The sequence below is a fragment of the Homo sapiens genome, chromosome 7, assembly GCF_000001405.40.
Source record: "Homo sapiens chromosome 7, GRCh38.p14 Primary Assembly".
NCBI classification, from domain to species: Eukaryota; Metazoa; Chordata; class Mammalia; order Primates; family Hominidae; genus Homo; species Homo sapiens.
Window position 1 is genome coordinate 122,111,133 of NC_000007.14, and position 27,117 is coordinate 122,138,249.

General features: G+C 36.4%; 1 protein-coding gene across 6 annotated transcripts in view; it reads right to left on the bottom strand.

The window, feature by feature from the left end:
• AASS (aminoadipate-semialdehyde synthase) overlaps positions 1-27,117 on the bottom strand; it is a 70,701-nt gene that overhangs the window by 37,584 nt on the left and 6,000 nt on the right. For all 6 annotated transcript variants that reach the window (XR_007059980.1, XR_927326.3, XM_011515725.3 and 3 more), the window contains exons 2-11: positions 22,385-22,609; positions 18,229-18,405; positions 15,243-15,327; positions 7,431-7,498; positions 7,175-7,321; positions 5,747-5,825; positions 5,501-5,628; positions 3,942-4,090; positions 2,466-2,588; positions 1,986-2,097 (exon numbers count right to left, since the gene is read on the bottom strand). Coding sequence is in view for 4 of the 6 variants with exons in the window: in XM_011515725.3 (XP_011514027.1) it covers positions 1,986-2,097; positions 2,466-2,588; positions 3,942-4,090; positions 5,501-5,628; positions 5,747-5,825; positions 7,175-7,321; positions 7,431-7,498; positions 15,243-15,327; positions 18,229-18,405; positions 22,385-22,594 (1,278 nt within the window). In the remaining 2 variants the exon portion in view is untranslated. The remainder of the gene's footprint in view (positions 1-1,985; positions 2,098-2,465; positions 2,589-3,941; positions 4,091-5,500; positions 5,629-5,746; positions 5,826-7,174; positions 7,322-7,430; positions 7,499-15,242; positions 15,328-18,228; positions 18,406-22,384; positions 22,610-27,117) is intronic.

The following is a 27,117-nucleotide window of genomic DNA, read 5'->3' on the forward strand; positions in this document are numbered from 1 at the left end:
TGACCCAGAAAGTTGGAAGTATGAGATGAACATTGTAAAGTGGTTTTTATAACTATGTTCCATGCAATAACGAAAAATACACTCATAATTAATGAAAAGATAGAAACTCTCTGCAGAAAAAGAGAAAATACCAAAACAAAATTTTTAAAAAAGAACCCAATGGAAATTCTAGAACTGAAAATAGAACATCGGAAATTAAAAATGCACAGAAATGTCTGATTAGCAGAATAGAGAATATGAAGACATTTTCAGATAAAGGACAACTAAGAGAATCTGTCATCAGCAAACCTGTACTGTAAGAAGTGATAAATTAAGTTATTCAGTCTGCAGGGAAATGATGCCAAAGGGAAATGAATGAAGAACATCAAAAATGGTAAACACCTTGGTAAATATATTATTGTATTTTTTATATACATACAGTTTGGCCACTTAAACATTTACCATTATAAAATTTTAGAAGTAGAGAAACTGTTAAGATTATGTATTCGTGGCTGGGCGCGGTGGCTCACGCCTGTAATACCAGCACTTTGGGAGGCCGAGGCGGGTGGATCACGAGGTCAGGAGTTCAAGACCAGCCTGGCCAACATGGTGAAACCCCATCTCTACTAAAAACTACAAAAATTAGCCAGGCGTGGTGGCACACACCTGTGGTCCTGGCTACTCGGGAGGCTGAGGCAGGAAGAATCGCTTGAACCTGGGAGGTGGAGGTTGCAGTGAGCCGCAATTGCATCACTGCACTCCAGCCTGGGCAACAGGGCGAGAATCTGTCTCAAAAAAATAAAATAAAATAAAATAAGATTATGTATTCATTACAACCACCTCATGTTACAGATGAAATATCTGAGGCTCAGAAAGGAAGTGAGTGCCCTGCTCAAGGTTATAAAGCAAGTTGATATCTCCAGCAAAGCCTGGCATTTGTACTCTCCTTCTCCTGCTTCTTTAATGCCTCAGCACCAACTCCAGACACATTGCAGATCCAGCACTGACTGTATCAGCAACACGTCCTTAACTTCTCTGTATTTGTTTTATAATGGATTTAATGATGGTAAAATGGATTTAATGATGGTATTTACCTAATACGGTTTTCATGAGTACTTAAAATTAAAATATATTTAGTACTTTGAACACTTCCTGCACCTAGTAGGTGCAATATCATGTCTAACCATGACAGTGCCTGCTGCCTGCATTTTCTCAAGCCTGCTACATCTCCCTGTTGACATATTCCAATAGGAAAAAGAAAGGGTCAAAATGGAATACTATTTGAAAGAAAAGAGGATCACAGACTGGAAATTTCATTTATTCTTGCCCCACTAACTATTGTTCTATTTTAGTGTAAGAGCTTATGAGGGAAGATATAGATGAAAAGAGTAAGAGCCATTCTTTATATTGGAATCATTGGCAGAGGCAGACAGTCTGAAATAAAAATAAAGCAGGAAGGCTATGAATGCTTAGGATAAAAACTGAAATAAGAAAAATTTTCTTTGATAAAGAAAATGGAATTTAGATAACATGGTATTTCATTAGCTAATCAATGATCACAGAAGAAAAATACATGACCTCAACATAAGCTGTCACTTAACTATTAGTGACCAGAACCCAATAAAAATGTTCTATATTTCTAATTTTTCAGACCTGGTTATTACGGCACAATAAGAGTGCCCCAATATGAACTGACATAGATGGCAAAAAATTAAAAATAAAGCATGTTTTATCTCACACGTGGTGAACATTCTTAATAAAAGACCTATAATGGGAAAGAGATGTAATTGTAATTAAGCATGAAGGCAGTGATATCATCCTATACCCCAAGAGACAAGTAAGCAGAATATGTCAAATAAAATAGTATCAGTAAGTATTTCAGGGAAGGGCTGGCATTTCATTTTACAGCAGATTTCTTAGATACAGAAGACCAGAACATTCACAGAATTACTCAATTATTCAATTTAAAGCCACAGAGTTGTTACTGATATTACCAGTCTGCTTACCATTTCTTCAACATAAGGGTAAAGCATGTCTCCAAAGCATTCTGTAGCTTCAATTGGGAGCTGTGCCGGCAAATTGTCAATGGAACACATCAGGATCCCCGAGCCTTCAACACTAAAAGCAGCAATGTGGTTTATTCAGAAGCACAAAACATTATTTGTAAGTTCTGACTTTTCCAGATGTCTACTCCACTATATTTGCTTCATTATCATTTGTAATTTTGTATAAAAGTATACGCGAAAATAAACAAAACTTTTCAAACAAAACGTTTTCCTTCTTCAGCAACCCATCTCACATTTAAATATATTTGTGTATGTGTGTGTGTTCAAATGTGCATGTTTTTTTCCCCAAATTTTAGTATGTTTGAGTATATCTCTCCAAATTTTCATAACTTCATAAAGATGTAAAATACTGAGAATTTTAGAGTAGTATATCAATGTAACTAAGTGAGGAATATCATCTAACAACTTTAGCAAACTCACCTGTCATGAATAATATGCTGGTCTGCATCATACATGCAAAAGGGATGCTCTATTGTTGTACACTCAGTCATAAACTCTATAGACCCTCCTGTGTCAGCTGAAATGTCACATATTGCCACGAGTCTGAAAATAACATCAATACTTAGATGAGAGGATGAAATTCTGAAGTCTCCAACAAGACTAAAAAAAAAGGAGTTTGGAACAATTTTCAATGTGGATCCCAAATATTTTCCAGGCTTTTGGGGTCTTTTTCCTATAGCTCATTCTTCAGGACTCTGCACTGTTCTGTGATACAGAGAATCTTCCCAGTATGAATTTTAGTCTCCAAAAAAAAAAAAAAAAAGAAAGAAAGAAAGAAAAGAAAAAAGGAAACAAACGCAGAAAATTGCTTTCCTAGAGAAATCATTAACAGACTAAAGTTAACATAGTTATCTCTAAATAACTCAGAAAGGTTCAATTATGCTACCTCCACCCTGCTTAGTACTGTATAGTTTTACATGTGGTTACACATAAATCTCTAGAATTACGAACAAAAGTTTCAGTCCAGCATTCAAAAAGTTGACTACAATTTTTCTGCCCAATCTCCAATTACCACTTGCATACATGAACCAATGTAGAGCTAGACTGACACATTCAGCACCCTAAATATGCTTTGGTAGCTCCATATTTATTAAGCACCAATCCTTTCACTTGGAATTCTTGTTCTCCTCATTCCTCCCTTTAAGGTTTGCTGCGCCCAATGCTTCTGCTTTCTTCTAAACCCTGGTGATGTTGTTGCTCCTAGCATTCCCTTGGCATTTACTTGATGCCAGTTACATGCCTAGAAAAGCAGACATATCTTTTACTCTTCCACAAATATTAATTAATTAATTCAATATTTAATAATTATTTCAATGCCTATTATATATCAGGCAACGTACTAGGTGCTTGTGGCCAAGAGAAAGAGACCCCCTATCCTCAAGGAGATTAAGTTCTAGGAAGAGGGAGAAAAATCATAAACACGAGAAAATAAATGAGGAATTTCAAAACAAAAAACAGAGTAACAGACTAGAGATAGAGATGAGAATGGAGAAACAAGAGAAGACTTCTCTGAGCAAATAGCTTCAGAGCTGCATGGGGCATCACAGAAGACAAAAGAAGAATGTTTCAAGAAGTGGAGGTGGGCTGGGCATGGTGGCTCATGCCTATAATCCCAGTACCTTGGGAAGCCAAGGCAGGAGGTCTGCTTGGGGTCCAGAGATTTAGACCAGCCTGGGAAACATAACAAGACCCCATCTCTAAAGATAAATATATACAATAAAATTTTAAAAAAAAAAGGAGAGATGGTTAACAGTGTTGAGTACTGCCAAGAGGTCAAGAAAGATAAGGCAGAGAAGTAGTCATTAGAAATCAAGTCCTCTGATATGTGATATTTGATCCTCTAATAATGGAAGCAGCTGGTCAAAACTACTATCGTTGCTGAAGTAGAGTCCTTACTTGTGTGGTAATGCAGGGCAGCCTTCCACACCAGCAGGTGAGAACTTGCCCGGAGCCAGGAGACTCTGAGCATCTTGGCGGGTTAGGAGGCGAGGAGTGTTTTGTTCCCAGTAGATTCCATTAATTAAGCAAGTTGTATAGGGTGCAATCTGTAATGCAAGTTCCAGGTTCAAGAAAATAGAAAATAGCCTATTTTAATACAGTATACTGAAAGAAAGCTATCAGTAAATTCTATGAGAAATAATTAAATGTAACTTCTAATTGATTTTCTTATTGTCCATGTCAGTGTCCATCTTTTGAGGCAAAGATATTAAATAGCCACCCAGATTTCAGTATAGAATTACCCTATGATAGAGAAATATATGACTATAAATACATTAGTGTGTTCATTCTATAATGTATTGCATGCCGAAGAAAAATGAAAGGACAAAAACAAAACAAACAAAAAACGGTGGACCTAAAATTATATTTCCAGCTCTAATATCAGTAGGGTATGACCTAAATCATGCTACCTCAACTTCCCTGGGCTCTATTTTTCTTACTTGCCAGATGGGGATAATACGCACCCCATTCCTCAAAGGAATGCTGTGAAGATTAAATCGGATAACATCTGTAAGCTCTATGGAGCAATGTGCTACATACATGCATACATGGCAACTAGGTCAGTATCAGTTTTAGGATGCATCCAATCACCAATACTTCTGTGATTGGGGAAATGAGAAGGAATAAAGATTTCTTAGATTCCAAATTTTTCAGTTTGAAACTATGTTCATAATTTTTCTTCTTCAAACATCTCAAGCTGAAGGTAAGAATTCTTTTCCCTAACATGCCCTGCACGATATAAGGGCTAAACTTCATACCAGAATCTGAAAATGTTATGTTGGTCAAACATATTTAAAATTATTTAAAGCATTCTTTTTCACAATAAATGCATGCATTTTTTGTTTTATGTATTTTTTGGTTTGTTAGTTTATCTGGGGGAAGAATGTTGCATGGCCAATGACTATAGAGCACACAAATATATTTTATTTCTTATAAGATGTGTGTCGCATCGAAGGATTTGATTTGTAAGTGTAATAGCTTTTTCATTCAGTGGGGATGGTCTGCACTTATATAGGAACGCTATTTAACCCTCACCCTGATAATCAATGGCATGCATTTCAAGATTGCTGGCTGAGATTATGGTTGCAATTTGCGGCCATGTTGAGACCAAACGTCATAGGCATTATGCTCTGCCCACAGTGCTAACTAGTCCAGGATAAATACAGAAAACAGTAACGCACAGGAAATGGCTTAGCGCTATTGGGCACATGTAGACCTGAAGCAGAAATGGAGACAGTGAAACAAAGAGTGTATCCACAGAAACCACCAAAAGCACTAAGCGAGACTACTCCAAATACCATAAAAGATGATAGCTCCAAAGGCCAAATCATGATACCCAAAGGACTCACAACAGGAAAACTGAAAGCCATTGTACAATTCATAATTTCTCTCCTTGAAAATAGCCTACCTACACTGTATCATAAGCAACCAACTTAAAAGGTGAATATGATACTCACATCAGTATTAAAACGACTTATGTAGCGCTCCGGATGTTTGTCATACTCTGCAGGATCATACACAGCATCTGTTTTCCTGACAAGATGATGATGACGACTTAACACCGTCCCATACACTTTTCTGAGGTCTTGAAAAGGAGAAAGAAATTAGTAAAGTGGGTGACAAATAATAAAAATTTATGGTGATAAAATATTATAACATAGACTGTTAAAAACATTAAAAGTTAGTCATCTCCTGTCCCTTACCTCCAGTTTGGGAAACTTCTTTTAATTCATGGGGCTCCACATATTCACAAGGTAGCTCATTAAAGATTGCTTGGGCTCCCTACAAATAACACATGAGTAAAAATCCAAAAATCAATAGAAAAAGAACCAACATGGTTTTCTGCAAAGATCTGATCATTTTCCCAACAATTACATAGCTCCACTTGCCTTCCCTACAACCAGGACTGCAACACAGAAATACAGATGAGTTGCTTACAACCAGCCTGCTAGCTAGCTTTTATTCCTGTTAGAACAGCACACTTAGAAAGGGCTTTAATTTTTTTCTTTTTTACTTAAGCTACTCAGAGTATCGATAAGAGTGTTTAGAAATGAGGGAAAAATATTTCCATTTATTTTAGATCCATTGCAGAAATTATTTCAAATGGGGAAATTATATTTCCTACAAAAGAAATAATCAGATGCTTACCTCACAATATAATAAGAATGATATCCTATTTGTAAAATATTTTCTTTGAAGCAGGAATTATTTTACAATGACAAGTTTCTATAGGAGATTACAAACACATTCTTAAAACCACCAGAGAAGGAAGAAAGCATGAATTCCAGTCTTAAATGAATCTTCCTAACATCTTGTTTGCAAAACTCCAAGTAGTCTTAAAAAATGGTTATCGTGAGGTCACTTTCAAACTCGTGGACATTTTGGTGATGGAGGTAAAACAGATCACCCTCAGAACAGACCTTTACACTGTTAACAATGAATTATCTTATTTATTTATTTATCTATTTATTTATTTATTTATTTATTTATTTTATTTTGAGACAGAGTCTCGCTCTGTCACCCAGGCTGGAGTGCAGTGGTGCAATCTCGGCTCACTGCAACATTTGCCTCCCGGGTTCAAGCGATTCTCCTGCTTCAGCCTCCTTAGTAGCCGGGATTATGGGTGTGCGTCACCATGCCTGGCTAATTTTTGTATTTTTGGTATAGGTGGTGTTTTACCATATTGGCCAGGTTGGCCTCGAACTCCTGACCTCAGGTGATCCGCCTGCCTCGGCCTCCCAAAGCACTGGGATTATAGGTGTGAGCCACCATGTCTGGCTGAATTATCTCTTTTAAAAAAAGAAAAAGAAACGAAGAAAAAGTATTCCAAGACTCCGATAGCTTGCAATAAACTAAAAGCTATATGTGTGTATGTATGTGTATAGATATACACACACATATACACTTACACATACACACACACATATATATACACACACATACACATACACACATACACACATATTTAGATCATTACTACTTTTCACTATGAGAAAAATACATTGGTAAGAAAAGTGCCTAAAATAGAATCTCCAGTCCATTTGAAATACCCACAAAATGGCTGCCCACATCATTTGGGTTAGTTTCAAAGTTTTGGATTGTTTTACAAAAGGAAGTCAGGTAAAAGTTACCTTAGAAACATTACCAGTTCCTGTGAACACAAATGTTAAGGGTCCTATTGACTTAGGCATCAAACCCAAAGATATTTCATAGCCAGCATCACGGACAGCTTGCACAGCCTGACTGCTATTCCTGTAGTTATGAGCCATGCCAATGTGCTGAAAACAAACATACACAACTCAAGTTAGTCCACCAGCTCAGCATTTTTTTTATTATTAAGGTGTGAGATGTGTTTTCAAAAAAATTAGCAAAATAAACATCTCTTACCATAAAAGGTGTGTGATGTCCCAAAGCAAGGAGCCTTAAACCCATTCCATGTAAAATGTTGATCATTCCTGTTACAGAATCAGACCAATAGAAAGACTATTAGTTGGGAAGAATTTAAGCTGTTCTCTCTGCTCGTTCTCCAATCTGCATGGTGCCCTGCAGAAGCACAGATCATGCATCTCAGATTTAGAAGAGGCCTCAGTAGATTGTATCCATCCTCTCAACTTTCTGCCATCAAATGCACTAACCCAAATGCATCCCCACCTATTCCTTCCACCTTCAATCCTGATAAAATAGGAAGAATGTTTCTCTTCTTATCTAAGGCTAATCTCTCCACCTTGGCTCCGGATCCCATCCCTTCCTGTCACCCAAGGAATTTATTACTGAGTTACTCCCCTCACTATCCTTCCCTATTGCTTCATTCTTATCAGCATTTAAACATGCTCCCATGCCTCCCATAACAAAAACAAATGAACAAACAAAAACAAAGTCACCATTAACCCTAGGGCTCCCATCATCTATTTAGTGACCTAAATAGCTAAACTCAGTGAACACATTGTAGATCAGATCAGAAGTACTTGGCAATGCAGACCTCTTCTTTGTTGAAACGAAGAGTGCCCCTCAGCATCCCAACTTGAAATTTTTAATCCTACGTTTCTGTAGGACCCTCTTCCTGTGGCAATTCCTTTTATATTATTCACCCTCAGGATTATGTCCTGGGCTCTATTTTCTTCCATATCTACATTTGTCCCTTAGGTAATCTCATCTAGTCCTAAATTTCAAGTACTATCTATATGCAGACGACTTCAAGTCTCTCTCTTGAAAACAGATCTTTCTTTTGATTTCAAAACTTAGCCAGCCACCTTTTTATGTCTGTCTCAATTTGGATGTTCTTCAGAAAGCTAAAATTCAGCATCCCTGCAGCAAAGACCTGAGCATCCATTCTTTCCTTATTCTTTTTAGGAAAGAACTTTCCATGCTCCTCCATTCCCCATCCTCACCCCCAACAAACATCCCTACCAAATTTTCTTTTGTCGTTTTTCTAAAGTCAACTTATAAAGAAATAGTTTACATACAACATAATGCACCCATTTAAAATGTATAGTTTGGTAACTGTTAACAAATATACACATCTGTGTTATTACCGCCATGATCAAGATACAGAGTATTTCACCAACTCCTGGTCTCCACAACTACTGATCTTTCTCTCTCTATAGATTAAGTTCTTCTAAAGTTACATATAAACAAAATTTTAAGCAGTCGTCTCTCAGTATATGCAGGGGGTTCGTTCTAAGACCCCTACACATGTTAATATCTGGGCATACTCAAGTCCCACAGTCAGTTCTGTGACACCTGCCTGTATGAAAAGGTGGCCCCCGATAAAGGTGGATTTTGCATCCCATGAATATAAGCGGACTCATGCAGTTCAAACTCGTGTTGTTCAAGGGTCAATTGTACTCTTTTACAATGTGTCGGCTTTTACTCAGCATCGTGTTTTTGAGATTCATACATATTTTGTGTGTATCAGTATAGTCTTTTATTGTTGAAGAGTTTCCCATTTCTATTTCAGTTGATTTCTCTGCTCATCATTTGGGTTGTTTCCAGGCTATTATAAATGGAGTTGCTATAAAAAAATTCTTTGTATAAAATATTGTATTTCTCTTAATAAATGCCTATTAGTGGAATTTAGTTTGTACCTTGATACTTAAGTTTTCAATTTCTTCTTGAGCTGATTTTGGTAATTTGTACATTTTGAAAATTTATCTAGTTCATCAAGGTTGCCAAATTCATTGACCTATTCATAATATTCCTTTATCCTTTTAATATTTAAAAGATATAGTGATGGCCCCCTAGTATTCCTTCTTAGTAAATATTGTCTTCTCTCTTTTTCTATCAGTCTACCTAGATGTTAATTAATTTTATTGATATTTTTCAGAGAACCAGGTTTTGGTTTCATTGATTTTCTCTATTCTTTTCCTGTTTTAGTTTGATTAATTTTCTCTGTATCTTTATTATTTATTTCTTTCTACTTGCGTTTGATTTAATTTCTCTTTGATTTTCTAGCTTCTTATAGTGGAAGCACAAATTATTAATTTAAAAACTGTCTTCTCTAATAAAAGAATTAAATGCTGTAAATTTCTTTCTAATTGCTACTTTATACCCCACACATTTTGATAAGCTATACTTTAAATTTTTATTCTCTTAAAAATATCTTCTAATTTTCCTGTGATTTCTTCTTAATCCATCAGTTATTCAAAATTACATTGAATATCTCCCAAATATTTGGAAAATTTCCAAATATCTTTCTATAAAAACTTCTAGGTCAATTCTATTACAGTCAGAATACATACTGTATGATTTCAGACTTTCAAATTTATCAAAAATTGTTTTGTGACTCATTCTATAGCCTATCTGGGAGTTTTTAGGCCATTAATGTAACTATTGATATAGCTAAATTTAAAGCTACCATGTTGCTGTTTGTGTTCTTATTTCATTTGTACTTTGTTTTTTTAATGCCCTTTTTCTTGTATTTTTGCTTGAACTGTGTATTTCTTAGTATGAATTTTACATCCATTATTGGCTTATTAGCTTTAGAGCCTTGTTTTATTTTTAATCATTGTTCTAGGTTACCATATGCATCTTTATCTTATTATAGTCAACTATCAAGTAATATTATACTACTTCCGGTATAATAAAATAAACTTGTTACAAAAGTATGGTTCTATTCCTTTTCACCTGTCCATCATTATTGGTGACATAAGTTTTATTTCTACCTGTGTTATGAATATCACAATACATTGTTTCATTTGAAACTATCAATTATCTTTTAAAGAATTTTTTTGTTTTTTGAGACAGTTAACTCACTTTGTCACCCAGGCTGGAGTGTAGTGGCATGAACACAGTTCACTGCAGCCTCAACCTCCCAGACTCAAGCAATCCTCCCACCTCAGCCTCCCAAGCAGCTGGGATGACAGGCACGCACCGCCAAGCCCAGCTACTCTTGCATTTTTTTGTAGAGATGGGACTTCATCGTGTGCCCAGGCTGGTCTCAAACTCCTGAGCTCAAGCAATCAGCCTGCCCTGGACTCCCAAAGTGAGCGACTGGGCCCAGCCCTAAAGAAAAGTTTTAAAATAAGATATGATGTTTTTTATGTTTGTTTACATTCTACCATTTGTAGTGTTCTTTATTCCTTTAATTCAATCCATGTTTTCAACTGACTTCATTTCCTTCTGCTTGAGAAATTTTTTAAATACTTCTATGTCAGTGAATTTTATCAGCTTTCATTTGACCAGAAAATCTGTGTTTAATCTTCATTTTCTAGAAAGATGTCCAGAAAGATATTGAAAAGATATTGTCTTTGGAAATATATTGTACTGTGCATAAAATTATAAGTTGTTTGTTTTCTTTCAGCACTTTAAAGATGTTGCTCCACTTTCTGCTAGCTTAAACTGTTTCTGATTAGAAGTTTGATGTTTATCGTAGTTATTCTATGTATATGGTTCCCTTTTCCCATTTATTTTCAATGTTTTTATCATTATTTTTTAGCAAGACAATTATGATGGTTCTACTGTCATTTTCTTTGTGATTTTTTATTTCTATTTTTGGCTTGGGGTTTATTGAACTTCACTTATCTGTGTATTTATAATTTTTATCAAGATATGGGAATGTTCCGGTCATGATTTCTTTACTTTCTTCCTTCCTCACTGCAGTAGAAATTAAACAAAATGGAGCATAAAGAGAGAAAAAGACTGAGAAAAAAAAACAGAATTTAAGTGACAGGTGGTGAACAAATGCTCTAATACGTGTGTATTTGGAGTCCCAGAAGGAAGAGAGGCAGGTGAAAGGAAAACAAGCCTTAAGAGAATCAATGTAATCCACAAACAATTGCCTATTAGAACAAAGCCCAATGCTCCTAAAAGGAAAACAACAAAATCTATCAACAATGTAAAATGAACACTGTCTGGCATTCAGTAAAAAATTATGAGTCTTGCAATGGAACATTAACCTGGAGATAATCAACAACGGAAACAATCCCAGAAACAAGAAATGACAGAGATGCTGGTCAATGTGCTCAAGGATTAAATGAAAACACAAACAAAATGAGGAGTAGAGGAAATCAATCTATCCACCATGTATCTATCAATCAATAGACACTACAGAAGAAAATCTATATATGTTCTCTAATCCTCTGCTTATGTATAGATTTTCGTCCGTGGTATCTATTGATTGATAGGTAGATGGACTGATTTCCTCTATTTCTCTCCTGATTTTGTTTATGTTTCCATTTAAAACGTGAACATACTGAACATTTATTATAGCTGTTTTAATCTGCTTGTGTGCTAATTGCATCTCTCTCAAAGTAGACATTAGGCTCATTTTTAAGCTTTTATAGGAATGAATGTAGAGTAGGCTTTATTAAGAGCTGGTTTAGCCACACACTTCAGGGCATCCCTGAAAGCCTTATACATTCAGTTAAGTCTCTCCACTCTGGCTGATGGGACAAACTCTGAGAACAGTTTTCCATAGAGTTCCCTGGCAATTGTTCTTTTCCACAAATTGTTCCTAAGGCAGTCTCATGAATTTTCATCCTCCACTTAGCAAGACCCCTAAGCATATTTCTGGAACACCATTTCTGCATAGCTCCTCACTGTTTGGTACTATGTGTTGCCAATTCCAGCCAACTCAGGCTCCCCAACTCCTATCTCCTCAGCTTATTGAGTTCACCAAGCTTTGTGTCACATTTCCATATTCATACCATCTGATAATTTCTCCAGACAGAAAGCCAGGGTGAACATAGAGCTCACCTCATCTATTTTCCATCTATCAAGGATCACAAGTCTGTACTGCCTGTGGTCCAATGTCTGATAACATTGTTTTCTATATCTCATTCAATTTTTCTAGTTGGTTAATGACAGGATAGTAAGTCTGACCTCAGTTAATCTTTCACAGATGGAGGGCACATGGTTTTTGCAGCAGACATAGTTGCCCAGTTATAGATTACATTTCTCAGTCAATTTTGACCAATGGGTATGAGCAGAAATAATATGTTCAGATTCTTGGTCACATCCTTAGAAAGGAAGCTATTTACCTTACTTCCTTTCTCCCCTTTCCACTGACTGGAAAATAGCAACCTGAAGGGTCACCTTAGAAATGAAAGCCAAGTGTTGACAATAGCAAAGGCTTCCTCTCATTCCACCATCCCTAGACTTCTCACTCCTGGACTTCTAGCTTATGTAAGCTCTGTTTTGTGGAGTCTCCATTATAGCAACTTAGTATGTAATCTACTAATACATTGTCCTATACAGAACTCATTTACTCCCTTCCTCCAAATTCTTCCTCCATTCCTGTGGGTACTGAAAGAACTGAATCACTGTCCAAGTTGGTAACCTGCATGTCATCTTTAAAGTGTCTCCCTCACCCCCTCACTCCTACATCCAATCAGTCACCACATCCTGTGAATTCCACCTTCTAAATACTTATAAGAACCACATATAGTTATTTCCATATACACTCTAATTATACTGAACTTATTTCTATTCCTCAAAACTATTATTTTCCCCCTCTTCACTTTGAGCTTTGCACACTTGTACTGTCCTCTCCTACTTCCCTGAATCATTTTTAATCATTCTTCAGACCTCACCTTCAAAGGCACTTTTTAAAAGAAAGCTTTTGCAACAGCCAAGTTCAAATACCTTTTGTTTTGTTTGTTTTTTGTGTGTTTGTTTGTTTGTTTTTTGAGATGGAGTCTTATTCTGTCTCCCAGGCTGGAGTGCAATGGCATGATCTCGGCTTCCTGCAACCTCCACCTCTCAGATTCAAGCAATTCTCCTGCTTTAGCCTCCCAAGTAGCTGGGATTACAGGCACCCACCATCACGCCCGGCTAATTTTTGTATTTTTAGTAGAGAAGGGGTTTCACCATGTTGGCCAGGCTGGTCTTGAACTCTGGACCTCAGGTGATCTGCCCTCTTCGGCCTCCCGAAGTGCTGGGATTACAGGTGTGAGCCACCGCACCCAGTCTCAAATACCTTTCTTATAGCAATTAGCACTAGCATTGTATTTGTGTTTACTTGCTTGAATGCTTCTCTAAGAACATGAACCACATCCTATTCATGGATGTGGTCCTACTTCTGAATATGGTGACTTCTAAATAAATCAACTTAATTCCAATGTATTAATTCTGTCTAGGTAAATAAAACCCTCATCTGGATGAGTCCTGAAAGGCCCTAGGAATCATAGTCATCAGAGGTCTCTCTATTACTGCTTTTATACTAAGAAATTTAATTTTCTGTTAGTTTAATAGAGCTGATTTGGGTGTTGGGTGAGGAAAGATATGAGGTGAGTGAATAAAAACAATGAATTTGTTTGTTTCTTTTTAAAGACAGAGTTTTGCTCTGTTGCCTAAACTGGAGTGCAGTGGCGTGATCTCGGCTCACTGCAAACTCTGCCTCCTGGGTTCAAGCAATTCTCATGCCTCAACCTTCTGAGTAGCTGGGATTATAGACATGCACCACCAACGGCTAATTTTTGTATTTTTAGTAGAGACAGGATTTCACCATATTGGTCAGGCTGGTCTCAAACTCCTGACCTCAAATGATCCGCCCGCCTCAGCCTCCCAAAGTGCTGGGATTACAGGCATGAGCCACCATACCCTGCCTGAATTGGTTTTAAGTAAAAGAATTTTTTGAATTTCACATTTTTGCTTAGATTTATTATTTAAAAAGCAGGTGGATGCAAGTATAATATTAATAATAAGCAGAATGACATAAGCCATAATAAGTGTTTGAAATGCTTGTTCCCTGGTGCCGTAAAGAAACAGCACATGAACATAAATTTAATTTATTTAGTAAGGCCATTTTTACTTCCTGCAGAAAGGGTACACTCACCAGCAGTTTTGCCACAAGAATACACCGAACAAAAGAGACAGGGTCATTTATAACCTGACACGTCCACCCTACTGCTGTGTCCGGTTTCCATTGGCTGGAACGAGACCTCACGTTCTGTATTCGTTCCTATTGGCTAGCAACTTAGAACTTTTTAAAAGAGGCAAAGGTAGAGGAGAACAAAGGAAGGAGGAAGTAACTTGTGGAATGCTGAGAAAGGTAAAAACACTTTTAAATAAGGAAGAGGAACAGGCTATGACTTAATGCTTGCTTGGACCAGTATAAGCCTGCCGGGGCAAATATTTAGAAGCACAGGTCTGAATAAATTTTGCTCCTAAGAGAAGTTACTATTTATTCCTAATTAAATGGGGACGAAAGTCTTTGAAGAGGAACCTCTACTTTTATTTTTTACATAAGGAATCTTCTATTTTTATATAACAAGGTCAAACAAATAGTACCGAAGTCATGACCTTCCTTATTAGACCTGCAAGTAGTCTGATCTGAAACAGAGCTACAACATATTGTGGTGTTTCTTAACCAAACAAGGTTCAAAGAATTAACTGGACAAAATTCCTGCCCCTGGACCTTTTTTCCCTTTCTATTTCTCCCTATCTTCTAATTCTCAATGTCTCATTACCGAACTGGTATCTCCTTCCAGCCTTTCGAAAGGAACTACCTAAAAATCAGAGCTTGTTTGTAGTTGTTATCCTTCTCCCTGCTTTTTCCTTTGAATTTTTGCAATAAAATATTTTTAACCATTTATCTTCATACTTTATTCCACTTGTATTCATCATCCTTCAGCATACCTTCATTTTAATTTTTTCCATGGAAATAAACACTCCTATCCCCTTGCCGCAGAAAAGAGAAAACTCACAGTTATTCCCCAAGCCAATTTAGGAAGTGGGTGATGTAAGCCCTGGCATACTTACCTGCCACACCAGCCCACTGTCCAAATGCCACTACCCGTACTCCTCTATGATCCACCATTTTCTCATAATCAATAAGGCGAATTTCCTGAAAAGAGGATAAAAAAATTTCAACTGGACCCATTAAGCTTAATTTTAACAAGTAAAGACATATATGAGCAAGTAAATATTTCACATTTTTTCCTCTGAAATACACCTTAACTTGCTAACAGAAGCTACCATCAGGTATACCATGAAATATTTAGAAAACGCCAGGTAGCAAACCAATGGTAGGCTTGTAATTAGAAATGAAAAAATGTTTGTAGCAGGTGCTATACCCCCCTTGATGGTAAGCAATGAAATAATAAAGGTAGAATTTCCTTTACCTTTCTGCCCCGACCCACCCAGCACCATCTATAAACATGTCTAAAGCCCCTCTCATCCTTACATCCTTCCTTCTGGTCAAATAAAACAGATCCATTTTGAGACGAATCTCTGTGACCTAGATCCCAGCTTCTCTCATGTCCTCCAAGACCACTCTTCTTGAACTATTACCTCTTTCTTGCATCATCCATCTTTACATTCTTTCTCAACCATTCTAAGTACACTCAGGTCTCTTCTACCTGGAAAATAACACTCTCTTTCAACCTGGGAAATAACACTCTCTCTCAAGTCCAAGCACAGATATTTTTCTCTCTCCTCCTCCTTCTCCTCTCTTTTTCTTTTTCCCTCTCCTTCCTTTTACAGGTAACCTTCCTATTAAAAGTAGTACAGGATTCCTTCGAGTAGCTCAAGATAAAACCTGGAGTGATTCCTGACTCCTCTCCTTTTCTCATATTCCACCTTTATGTCATTTATCTTCCTTGCCTTCACTAAAAACATATTCTTCCTCTTTCCTTGAAAACCTTTCCTCTCTCAGGAAAGCATTAGTAATTCATGCTTAAAACATATTAGTGTATTGTAATTATACACTATTTTAAACAGTAATTTTATTTCCTCAAAGATCATATAATTTTTATTATGTTCATGAATTTAAGAATGTTTATCATTCTTCCAACTCCAAGTAATTGGTTACAAAATGCTGCCCAAAAGCAGCCCTGTTAGGTCAGTTTTTTTTAATTTTCTTATAATGAACAAAAGTTAAAATAACAAAAAAAGTTCCTAAAGTAATTTATAATTACTTTATTTGCTTAAAGTGGAACATTCTTCCTATAGTATTATTTCCATTAATTACTTTTGAACTTATTCTTTAGAAATACTACAAATTAACTGTCACCCTGGTCTACTGTATTTGGAATCAATTGGAAGTATTTTACACTCCTATATAATAGGTATTTTCCATTGCTTTTACTGTTTATGAACCCTCCAATCCTCTGCCCTAATCTCGGATCCTAGCTCTAACATCTGGAAGATGTGGACCTTAGACTTCTTTTTCTATACTCCCTTCCTAGGCTCATCCAGTCTCGTGGCTCTAGACACCACCTGGTCTCTCACAACTACAAAATGTATGTCAGGAGAAGCCGCCCTCCTGAGCTTCAGACTCATATCCAACAGCCCTCTTAGATTATCCCTTTGAATGTCTAATAGAATATTAAACTTGGCAGACCCTAAACTCAACTCTTGATTTGCCCACCGAAGCCTTTTTCTCTTGTAATGGCATCATGTCATTCCATGACAATTGCTTCAAGTAGCTCAGGCCAAAACCTGGAGTCATTCCTGACTGCTCTCCTTTTTTCATATTCCACCTTTATGTCATCAGTGAATCCTGTAGGATCCACCTCTAAAACATATCCAAGATTTGTCCACATTTCACAACTTTCTCTTCCACCATTTCTTCCAGGTGCAGGCCACCATCACTTGTGACTTGCAGTCTAGACCAGCCTAGGTTAGCAGCCTTCTTAGTAATGTTGCTCTCCTCCTCCCACCTCCAACCATTGTTGACACAAGAGACAAAATAAGCATTTCTGAACATGGTGTACTCTAACCCCACACTCAATCTCGAATCTGTCTGCTTAAAAGACTCATTTCAGATGTATTGGCTCGGTCCTTCACCTCCTTTAGATTGTTGCTCAATGCCACTTTCACAATGGGGTCCTCCCTGACCATCCTACTTAAAATAGCATCATCACCTCCCAGTGCCCAGGACTCCTTTTCTCCTTCAATATTATATTTATCTTCATCACACATATTCCCAAGTGGATATTAGATGTCTTATTCATTGATTATCTGTCTCCTCCCACTAGAATGTAAGCTTTGTGAAAATAAAGATACTTTACTCTTTGGCTCTTTCCTTGGAACAAACAGTGTCAGACACAGCATCAGCACTGAATAGATATTTGTTAAATGAATATCTTGTGTTTTAAACAGCTGCTAGTTTTTTTCATAGTATTTCTATCTCAAAAATGCATTTTCCCTTATGAATGTGAATAAATGTAAAAATTGTCTCAGCCAGGCACGGTGGCTCATGCCTGTAATCCCAGCACTTTGGAAGGCTGAGGTGGGCGGATCACGAGGTCAGGAGATTGAGACGATCCTGGCTAACACAGTGAAACCCCATCTCTACTAAAAATACAAAAAATTAGCTGGGCGTGTTGGCTGGCGCCTGTAGTCCCAGCTCCTCAGGAGGCTGAGGCAGGAGAATCACCTGAACCTGGGAGGCGGAGGTTGCAGTGAGCCAAGATTGTGCCACTGCACTCCAGCCTGGATGACAGAGCAAGACTCCATCTCAAAAAAAAATCCCATCTGAAAAACAAGGTAGTAGATTATATGATCCCTGAGGTTATTTTCAGTTCTAAAATTCTATTTGATAGTATATGGCCAATTGACCTTATAAATTGGTAAATTGTTTAGGGTAAGAGCTTTTATCATTCTTTCCATTTCAGAATATAAAAGGAATGCAATGTTTCTCTTAAACTAAAGAAGAAAAGAAGACTAAAACTCCATTTGGGGGTTAAAAGTAAAAAATATTATTTTTCTACATTAATATTTATAAATATTAATCACTAATTACCTGTTTTAGAATCTCATCCAACAAGCCCATATTGGCCTCCTGAGCTTTTATTGTGTGGGAGAAAAATGCATAAGTCTTCCTGGACATTAATTTTTCCTCTGGAGGTCTTTTAACTCCTAAAATTAGACAAGCTTCAGAAATATCCTCCTGAAGAATGCCACCAGCTTTGACATAGTCCTGAAATTGTAATTATGATTAAAGGTTATTATCCTGATTTGTAATATCCATGTTTTCTTGAGCAAAATGTGTAGCAAAGGCACAACAAATCTTTTGAAGGAATAAAATCTGTATGAATTAGAACAAATAATAGAACAACTACTTGTAATGTTTGTACTTGTTGGCTAAAGATAAATCTATCATGTCAACTCTTACAGCATTAAACAATTAGAAAACACAGCATATATATATATATGTATGTTTAAGAAGAGTTTATAATTTGGTCATATGCACTAGCACATGTGACTTAAGCATACTTGTGAAATGTATATTTTGTACCAACAGTACACTGAAATATTAAATGCCAAATTGTGATTTATTAGTTGTATTTTTAAAAGATAAGACATAATTATACATTTATTTTTCAGTGTTTACCCAGTTAGTATTTATTACTATCCTTACTGTACATTAGTCCGTGCTAGAGATGAGATGCTAAGATACAAGGAAAGATTGTCAAGATCCCTTGTATAAAGGAGCTCACAAAATATAGTAAAAAGTACTCTGGATTGGAGTAAATGAAAAATACAAAACATGATCAGCAGTATCTAAGTGATATGCTACTTTAACTGATATTGAGATAATTCCTAAGTAGGATGATCAAAAAAATATGAAAATTAAATTAATCTGAAAGGTAGGATACCAAAGAAATATGAGAATTTAAATTAATCTGAAAGGCTACCTGAAATTTAGAGAAATGAAGATGGCAAACACAAGATGGTAATATCAGTAAGAGGCATTGAAGGCATATATAAAAATACAAAGAGAGAAGTAAAGAGACATTTACAACATACGAGTAAACCGATTTGGAAATGTAGGTTGAATGTCATCATGGCTAATACAAGACTTATTGGGTAATAAGTAACAATCATTGATATGTATTAATAAATTACATGTACTTTGCTAAGCTCTTTGCATGAATTATCTCATTTAAATTTCATACAACTCTCATGAGGTAAGTACAATTATAATCCTCATTCAATCAATGGGAAACCTGAGGCTTACAAACTTAATTGAGATTGCATAACTAGTACATGGAAGCAACAGACAGACATATCTGATTTTTAAATAAAGAGGTATAACCCAAGCAGAATTAAAAGAGCAATTGAACAAAAGATAAGTTTAGTTAGGAATCTACCTCAAAGGAAAGTAGAGATGAATAACAGAGATAGTTAAAGGATGAATATACAATTTCTCCCTGGTTTCTTCAAAAACAGTCCATTTTCTCATTTGTAGTAGATTGGTAAATAAACCATGGTAAATCTGTACAATGGAGTACTTATCACACAGCCATGAAATGAAATGAAATCTCTCTAAGAACTTACATAGAGCAATGTTCAAGATATGTTGTTACTAAAGAAAGAAAGCAAGGTTAAAAGAGTGTATATAGTAGACAGCCTTCTGTATAAGAACAAAAGGGAAATAAATATGTAAATACACACACAGGTGTTTATTTTTGCAAAAAAAAAAAAAAGAAAAAACAATGATAGATCAGAAACAAAAGTAACCTCTTTGGGGTGGGTGAGAATTGGATGTAGGGGATTAAAATGAAAACATGACTTCATTTCTGGAATTTGTAAATGTTCTACTTTGAAAAACAAAATTAAATCAAAAATGGGAAAGCAAACATTAAAACTGAATAGAAACAATAATATATAAATCCAGATGGATATTAGATTGATGACGAAACCACACCAAAAAAAATTCAAATAAGTTTTTTAATACAACACTCTGAATATTCATTGTCAGATATATTCTAAAGGCAAAAAAAAAAAATCAAAGAAATAGTAAACTTCATTTAGTGGGCTTACTATTAGTTGTAATAATAGTATTGTGATCCTGACACTATTTATACATATCATAGGATAAAGCAAACAATATGCATTAATATTAAAGAATTAAGATTTTTACTGTTGGAGAAAACAGATGCAAATATAAAATTTTAAAGGTAAAAAGTTGTGCAATGTTAAATTTTAATTTTCCTGGACATTAATTTTTCCTCTGGAGGTCTTTTAGTATCAGTATTAACTCATGATTAAATAATATATATATATATGTGTGGGCAACTGTTTGTGTATATTTCTAAACTCTGTACACTAATAGAGCCTAAGAGCAACAGTATCTCAGTAACAATAAACATGCTTAACATCAGATACCAGATCTTGGTCTCTATATAATAAAAGAAAACAAGTCTTCTTGGTGAAATTATTAATTTCCTGATGTGGGGCAGGAAAGGTACAAGGTGAGACTAGGACAATTTGTTATCCTAAGAAACAAGAAAGCTCAAAGGTAAATGGATTCACATCCAAAGGACAGAGAAGCCCCCTTGGAAGGACTCACACTAACCAATTTTGGGATAATTCAGACATTAAAAAGAATAATGGTAAATGGATTGAATGAAAAAGGTCCATGCTTCCAAAATATACTCAAAAAAGCAAAAATTAAAGAAGCATAATGCAATAGCAAATTTGAGTCCACACTTTGATAAACAATTCAGTTCACTGTAATAAAACAGTTCACAACTCATCTTTTAAGCAACATCCTAAGATTCATCTTGTCAACATGAAGATGTATATATAAACTCCTCATAACAAGGCTTTAAATGCAATGATAAGAAAGTTTTTTAAAGAAATTGTTTAAACACTGAATTACAGAATTCACAGTTTGGTAAACAGTTCAATGCACTGTAATAGAACAGTTCACAACTCAAAAAAGTGGAGGAGTGGAAGAGAAAGAAAAGAAAACCTCTTTTCTAAAGAAGAATGTCAGCAAACAAACTTAGGGGAGTGATAAAATTAGAAAAGCATCACTTCACAAGTCTCCATGTAAAAACTGATCCAGGCAAAGATTATCAATGGAGGCTGACATGATTAGTTGTAAAGTTATTTGAGGAATAGGAACATCACAGATCTTAAAATACCATACCACAGATGACTCAGTAATTACAAAGGGTGATATAGACTTTAACAATGAAGAGCTCTCACTGTAACCACCTCAACCAAGTGACCACACATTGCCAACCATGGGACGACCAGATGTTTTGTGCCTTTGATGTGATGCCATGGGAAGAACATATATCACTTATGTTGTATTCATGCCAAACATTTTTGGCATGAATATAACATATAGAATATAATTAGAATATAATCTATTCACGAGAAAACAACCAGATTATTCGTGCCCAGTAGCAGGACACTCTGTAAGTCTTGGGGTCTAGAGTCCATGTCAATGTCAATATCATTGAAACAAAATCAGAAAGGGATGTGCTGTTCTAGATTGAAAGAACTAAAGACACACAATAATAAAATGCAATAAAGCTTCATTAAGCCTCAATTAAAATAAAAGGCATTTGAGGCAATGGGGAATCTGAACATAGACTATATAAGATGATATTATGAATTATTAATTTCTTAGGTATGAAAGTCATATTGTGGTTATGTAGAAAACATGGCTTATTCTGAGGAGATGCACATTGGAGCATTTAATAGTAATGAGTTATGATGTCTGTGATCTACTTTAAAATGGCTCAGGAAAGGAAAAGTATACATATATATGTATATTGCTAAAATAGGAATGAGTCAAACCTATACCATAATATTATTTTGAAGAGCAAGTGGAATGATGAACATGACAGGCTTCTCTCAGAGTGGCAGGCAAGGTACATTCTCAAAGGAGCATTCTCTGGGTGCAAGAATGGAGTCTTATCCCCCTAGTCCCAGAACCAGGGCTGTACATGAAGGAGAGAATGATTGAAAAATAACATCTCCTAAAAGTAAGTTCTTTTATTCCTCAGCTGGAGTAAGCATAGGGTGAAAATAATACTTTTAATCAAAGTAAAGAAATCAAAGTGACACTAGCAAACATTTTATTTTCACTCAGATGCTCCTTAATTTTCATATGCAGGTTCATTTTATTCTCACATAAAAATATTGGAAATACTCACCTTATCATGAATGGCCCGCCGATTCGAAGGCTGTATCAAGACCTTGTATCCCAGATTGGTGATGCCTTTGATGTGCTTGGGAGCTAGCGGGGCCCTTCTCTCCCAGGCGTTCACATCCTCCCTCCGGACGGCCAACACAGCTTTGTGGTGAAGACCCTTGGAGAGGCTGACCCCCAGCCTGCCCAGTCCAGTCCTATGTACTTGCAGCATCTTGACACCTGGTGACTGTAAAGACAATGTAAAGAGCAGAGCAACAAAAGGCAGCAAGGCTGGCAGATCAGTTCTGGTCTCCTGAGAAATCTGAGGTAAAATACAACCCGCTCTTATGAAAACAGACACAAGGTAGAGAAGAGGGAAGGGAAAACTGGGATGTCAAGTGTTCCTTTAAAGCCAAGTTTTCAAAAACAAGATTATTTAACTGCAAAATTTTAAAAAGTATAGAGCAACGTGTGTGACACCATCCAATAACTGCTAAGCTAAAATAGCTTTTTAAATACACATTTTATCAAACATCTATTCGGCACAAAAGTTTTAAACAAATTAATCTACAATGCAAATCCAGGAAAATAATAAAGAGCAAGACTTTCAGATTGGTCTAAATTTTGATGGCGTAAAGTTTGAAATCCTTATAATGGTATACAAGATTCTTCACAATTTAGTGCCAACCTCTTTCCAGTTCATCTCTGACCATTCCCAAAACAAGTGTTTCTCAGTGTGCCCTAGTGTCAGTCAGTGAACTGCACTGAACTGTTTTTTTAAAACAAAAAACAAAAAACAAAAAAACTGGTTCACAATTAGATGTGTACATAAATAGAAAGTAAGCATTTAGAAGCCTTAATATCACATGATCATATTTATTTATTTATTTTTAGACATGAAGTCTCACTCTGTCAATGCTAAAATGCAGTGGTGAGATCATTGCTTACTGCAGTCTGGGCTCAAGTGATCCTCCAGCCTCAGCCTCCCTAGTAGCTAGGACTACAGGTGCACAACCACCCACCTGGCTAAGTTCTTTTTTTTAATTTATAACAAATTACTGGGATTACAGGGGTGATCCACCATGTCAAGCCACAAGATCATTTTTTCTAGTAATTTATTGTTACCGGATTTTACAAAAGTATTGGTCCTCAACAGATTGGAAATTTAAGAAAACCAATCAACCTGTGTAAACTAGTTCAACCATTGTGGAAGACAATGTGGCGATTCCTCAAGGATCTAGAACTAGAAATACCATTTGACCCAGCCATCTCATTACTGGTATATACCCAAAGGATTAGAAATCATGCTGCTATAAAGACACATGCACATGTATATTTATTGTGGCACTATTCACAATAGCAAAGACTTGGAACCAACCCAAATGTCCATCAGTGATAGACTGGATTAAGAAAATGTGGCACATATACACCATGGAATACTATGCAGCCATAAAAAAGGATGAGTTCATGTCCTTTGTAGGGACATGGATGAAGCTGGAAACCATCATTCTGAGCAAACTATCACAAGGACAGAACACCAAACACCTTATGTTCTCACTCACAGGTGGGAATTGAACAATGGGAACACTTGGACACAGGGTGGGGAACATCACACACTGGGGCCTGTCATGGGGTGCGGGGAGGGGTGAGGGATAGCATTAGGAGATACACCTAATGTAAATGACGAGTTAACGGGTGCAGCACACCAACATGGCACATGTATACATCTGTAACAAACCTGCACGTCGTGCACATGTACCCTAGAACTTAAAGTATTAAAAAAAAAAAAAGAAAACCAATCGACCAAACAAACCTATTCTTTAACCAGAGGTGTTAGAAGATTAAGAAGCAGAGTTAAATCACTCTGCTTCCTAGAGTCCAGCTCACCTTCACTGTTCACCTTTGTTGCTCTAAACATGCCAGTTCCTCTTCCTGGGTTTTCTCTCCATACATGGCCGTCTGCTGTTGTATTAAACCCCGACCTGCCTCAACCAGTTTTCCAACTGCTATTCAAGTGAGAAGATTGTGTAATTCCACTCATTCAGTCAATCAAGAAATAGTTACTAAAGGCTTACTATGATGAATGTAACGGGCTTCTCTCAATGTGGCAGGCAAGGTATATTCTCATGAATAAACTCTACTCAAAGCAGCATTCTCTTGGTACAAGAAGTGTCTTGTCCCCCTAGTCCCAGAACCAGGGCTGCATATGAAGGAGAGAATGATTGAAAGATATCATCTACTAAAAGTAGTTATTTTTTCCCTCAGCTGGAGGAAGCGTAGAATACGGTGGAAATAATACTTTAAACCAAATTAAAGAAATTAAAGTGACACTAGTAAACATTTTATTTTCACCCAGATGCTCCTAATTTTTATATACAGGTTCATTTATTCCTATGCAGAATAAATCTTATGTAAATTTTTAAAGCATAAATATCCAGGCTTAACAGTATTCTACCCAACTTCAATTGGATTCTATCCAACTTCAATTTTGTAGCCAAATGTCATTTCAGATGATGATTTGCTGGATCATTTGAATGATAAAACTTAGTTTTCCATGTAAACTTGGCAGCAAAATATAAGGATTCAATGATTTTTATACCTTCCAGAAATTTTCTACCCATCACCGCTAACAACATATAGAAAAGCTTGCATGAAACACATTTATTTTACATCAGACTGCAATCTTGGAAGAGCACCAGCTTGATGGATGGGGAAGGCTTGACCAAACAATTAAGCATACAAGTACATTTCCTGGGGGCAAACAACTACTTGCTACCTAGACAGTAAATTTATAGGACACTTTACAACAGAATCAGACAACAGACCAAACAGCGAAGAGTCCAGCTAAGAAGGCTTTAGGAAGATGGCCAAGAAGAAAAAAAGCTGCACACAGCAAGAGAAACTGCTGATGATTAGGAGTTTAGGCTTTTATTCAGGGCAAAATATGCATGCAAAATAGATTATCAACATTTCAGTAAACGACTGTTATATACTGCATCTATTTTTTGTTTATTCATATCTTCTGTTTTTTAAAATAGATTGCATTAAACTCAATCCCAAACCCATAACATTCAGTCTTCTCGAAGCCAAAAGAAAAACTAGAACCTGAATCCCTCAGTTTCTAATAAAACCAATTCCAAAGATAGTGATTCCTTTGAACATACACAAATGTCCAGAAACCATCCCATCTTCCCAGCAGGGGCTGTGTTTCATGAATTCACAGGTGACTACATACCCCTGTAACTTTTATTATGAGTTGAAATTCTTGACTCCATCAGGAGGAACATGTGGAGATAATTTAATCCCTCCCCTCTAGCCCAAGCTTGAATGTTAACCTCACTCATCCCTCACTCAGTAATAATCCCTGCTCCTTCTCCCACCACCTTCTTTGTCTGGGATAGGGCGGGAAAGCAGTAGACACACACACAGACACAAATACAGACAGTCACTTGTAACATACACACATATACTTGCAAAGGCCAACTATCTTGGAAGACTAGGGAAAAAGACAGAAGTGCCTGGGACTGAGCTTCAGTTTATTTGGGAAGCTACTTTCACTTTCACTTTTTGCATGGAAGGCTTAAATAATAATTTCTGTAACTTTCATTATTTAAACAAATGTAACAGTAGTTACCATTGATTAAGCATCACATGCCAAGCTCTATGCTGAGCACTTTATGGATATCATCTTATTTCCTCCTTGCAAAAATCTTATTAAGTAGATACATATCCCCATTTTATAGATGAAGAAACTGAACTGGAATCATATAGGATCTGTTGCTTTTAAGCAGAAGCAGGATTCCTAGTTTAATGTTTAACACCTGGAATTTTCTCTTCTTTGCCAAAGCCTACAGATTCACACCATATAGATCCAACACATGCTGTTAACTCCAGCCAACTCTTGTTTCAGAAAGAAATCAGATCCATATGGCTTTGCCTTCAACAGTCACAGTGAATTAACAGTTCTCCCCGTAGCATGCCGTGCCTCTCTTGACCCCTTTTCCTGCTTTATACTGAAAATCATTCCTGAGTACCTGCCAAGATAAATTCTAGATTTCTGGGTGCTTAGAAAAAAAATGGTTTGATTATAGTATAACTGCTAGTTACTGCTTGAACCTTAAAACTTGGTCTCAGCATAGAACTTTCAAGATCCACAGTTCATTTGCTTCTAAGGTCTTCAAGAAATAGGAAATAGTGAGAATTTCTGAATTGCACTGCAGGTGTCTAGTATTTCATGGAAATGCCAACGGAGGCTGCTTTAGCTTTTTCTGTCCTGGATTTTGTGGTATTTTTCAAGAATATCAGGAAGTAAATTCAATGTATATTTCTGGAATGCCTTCAATGAAGGAAGGAGGGAAGATCAGGGTTTACTCACCACCAGCTCTAGTGAGGTTACCCGACAATGTCGGGTGCTGATAACAGCTTGTAACACAAGCAAGGAGGATGTAGAAAAGCAGGAGGCAGAGAGGGGGAAAAAAAGAGCTAGAAAGAACAAAGAGGAGGAAAATAGAGAAAGAGAAGTGTCACACAGGCAAGGGTGGGGTACAAGACCCTTCCTCTGATGAATTGTAACAGTCTTCCCTTTGTTACATGAAGGTTAACATTTCAAATATAAAAATGAAACTTAAAAGATTTCTTCTCTGTTTTTGTAAAACAGAACACCACTAAGGTATACATTTTTATTTACCTAAAATTGATGAGGAATTTGAAATGTCTCTAAAAGTCATGGGAGTATTATAGTGAATTGCAGCGAGA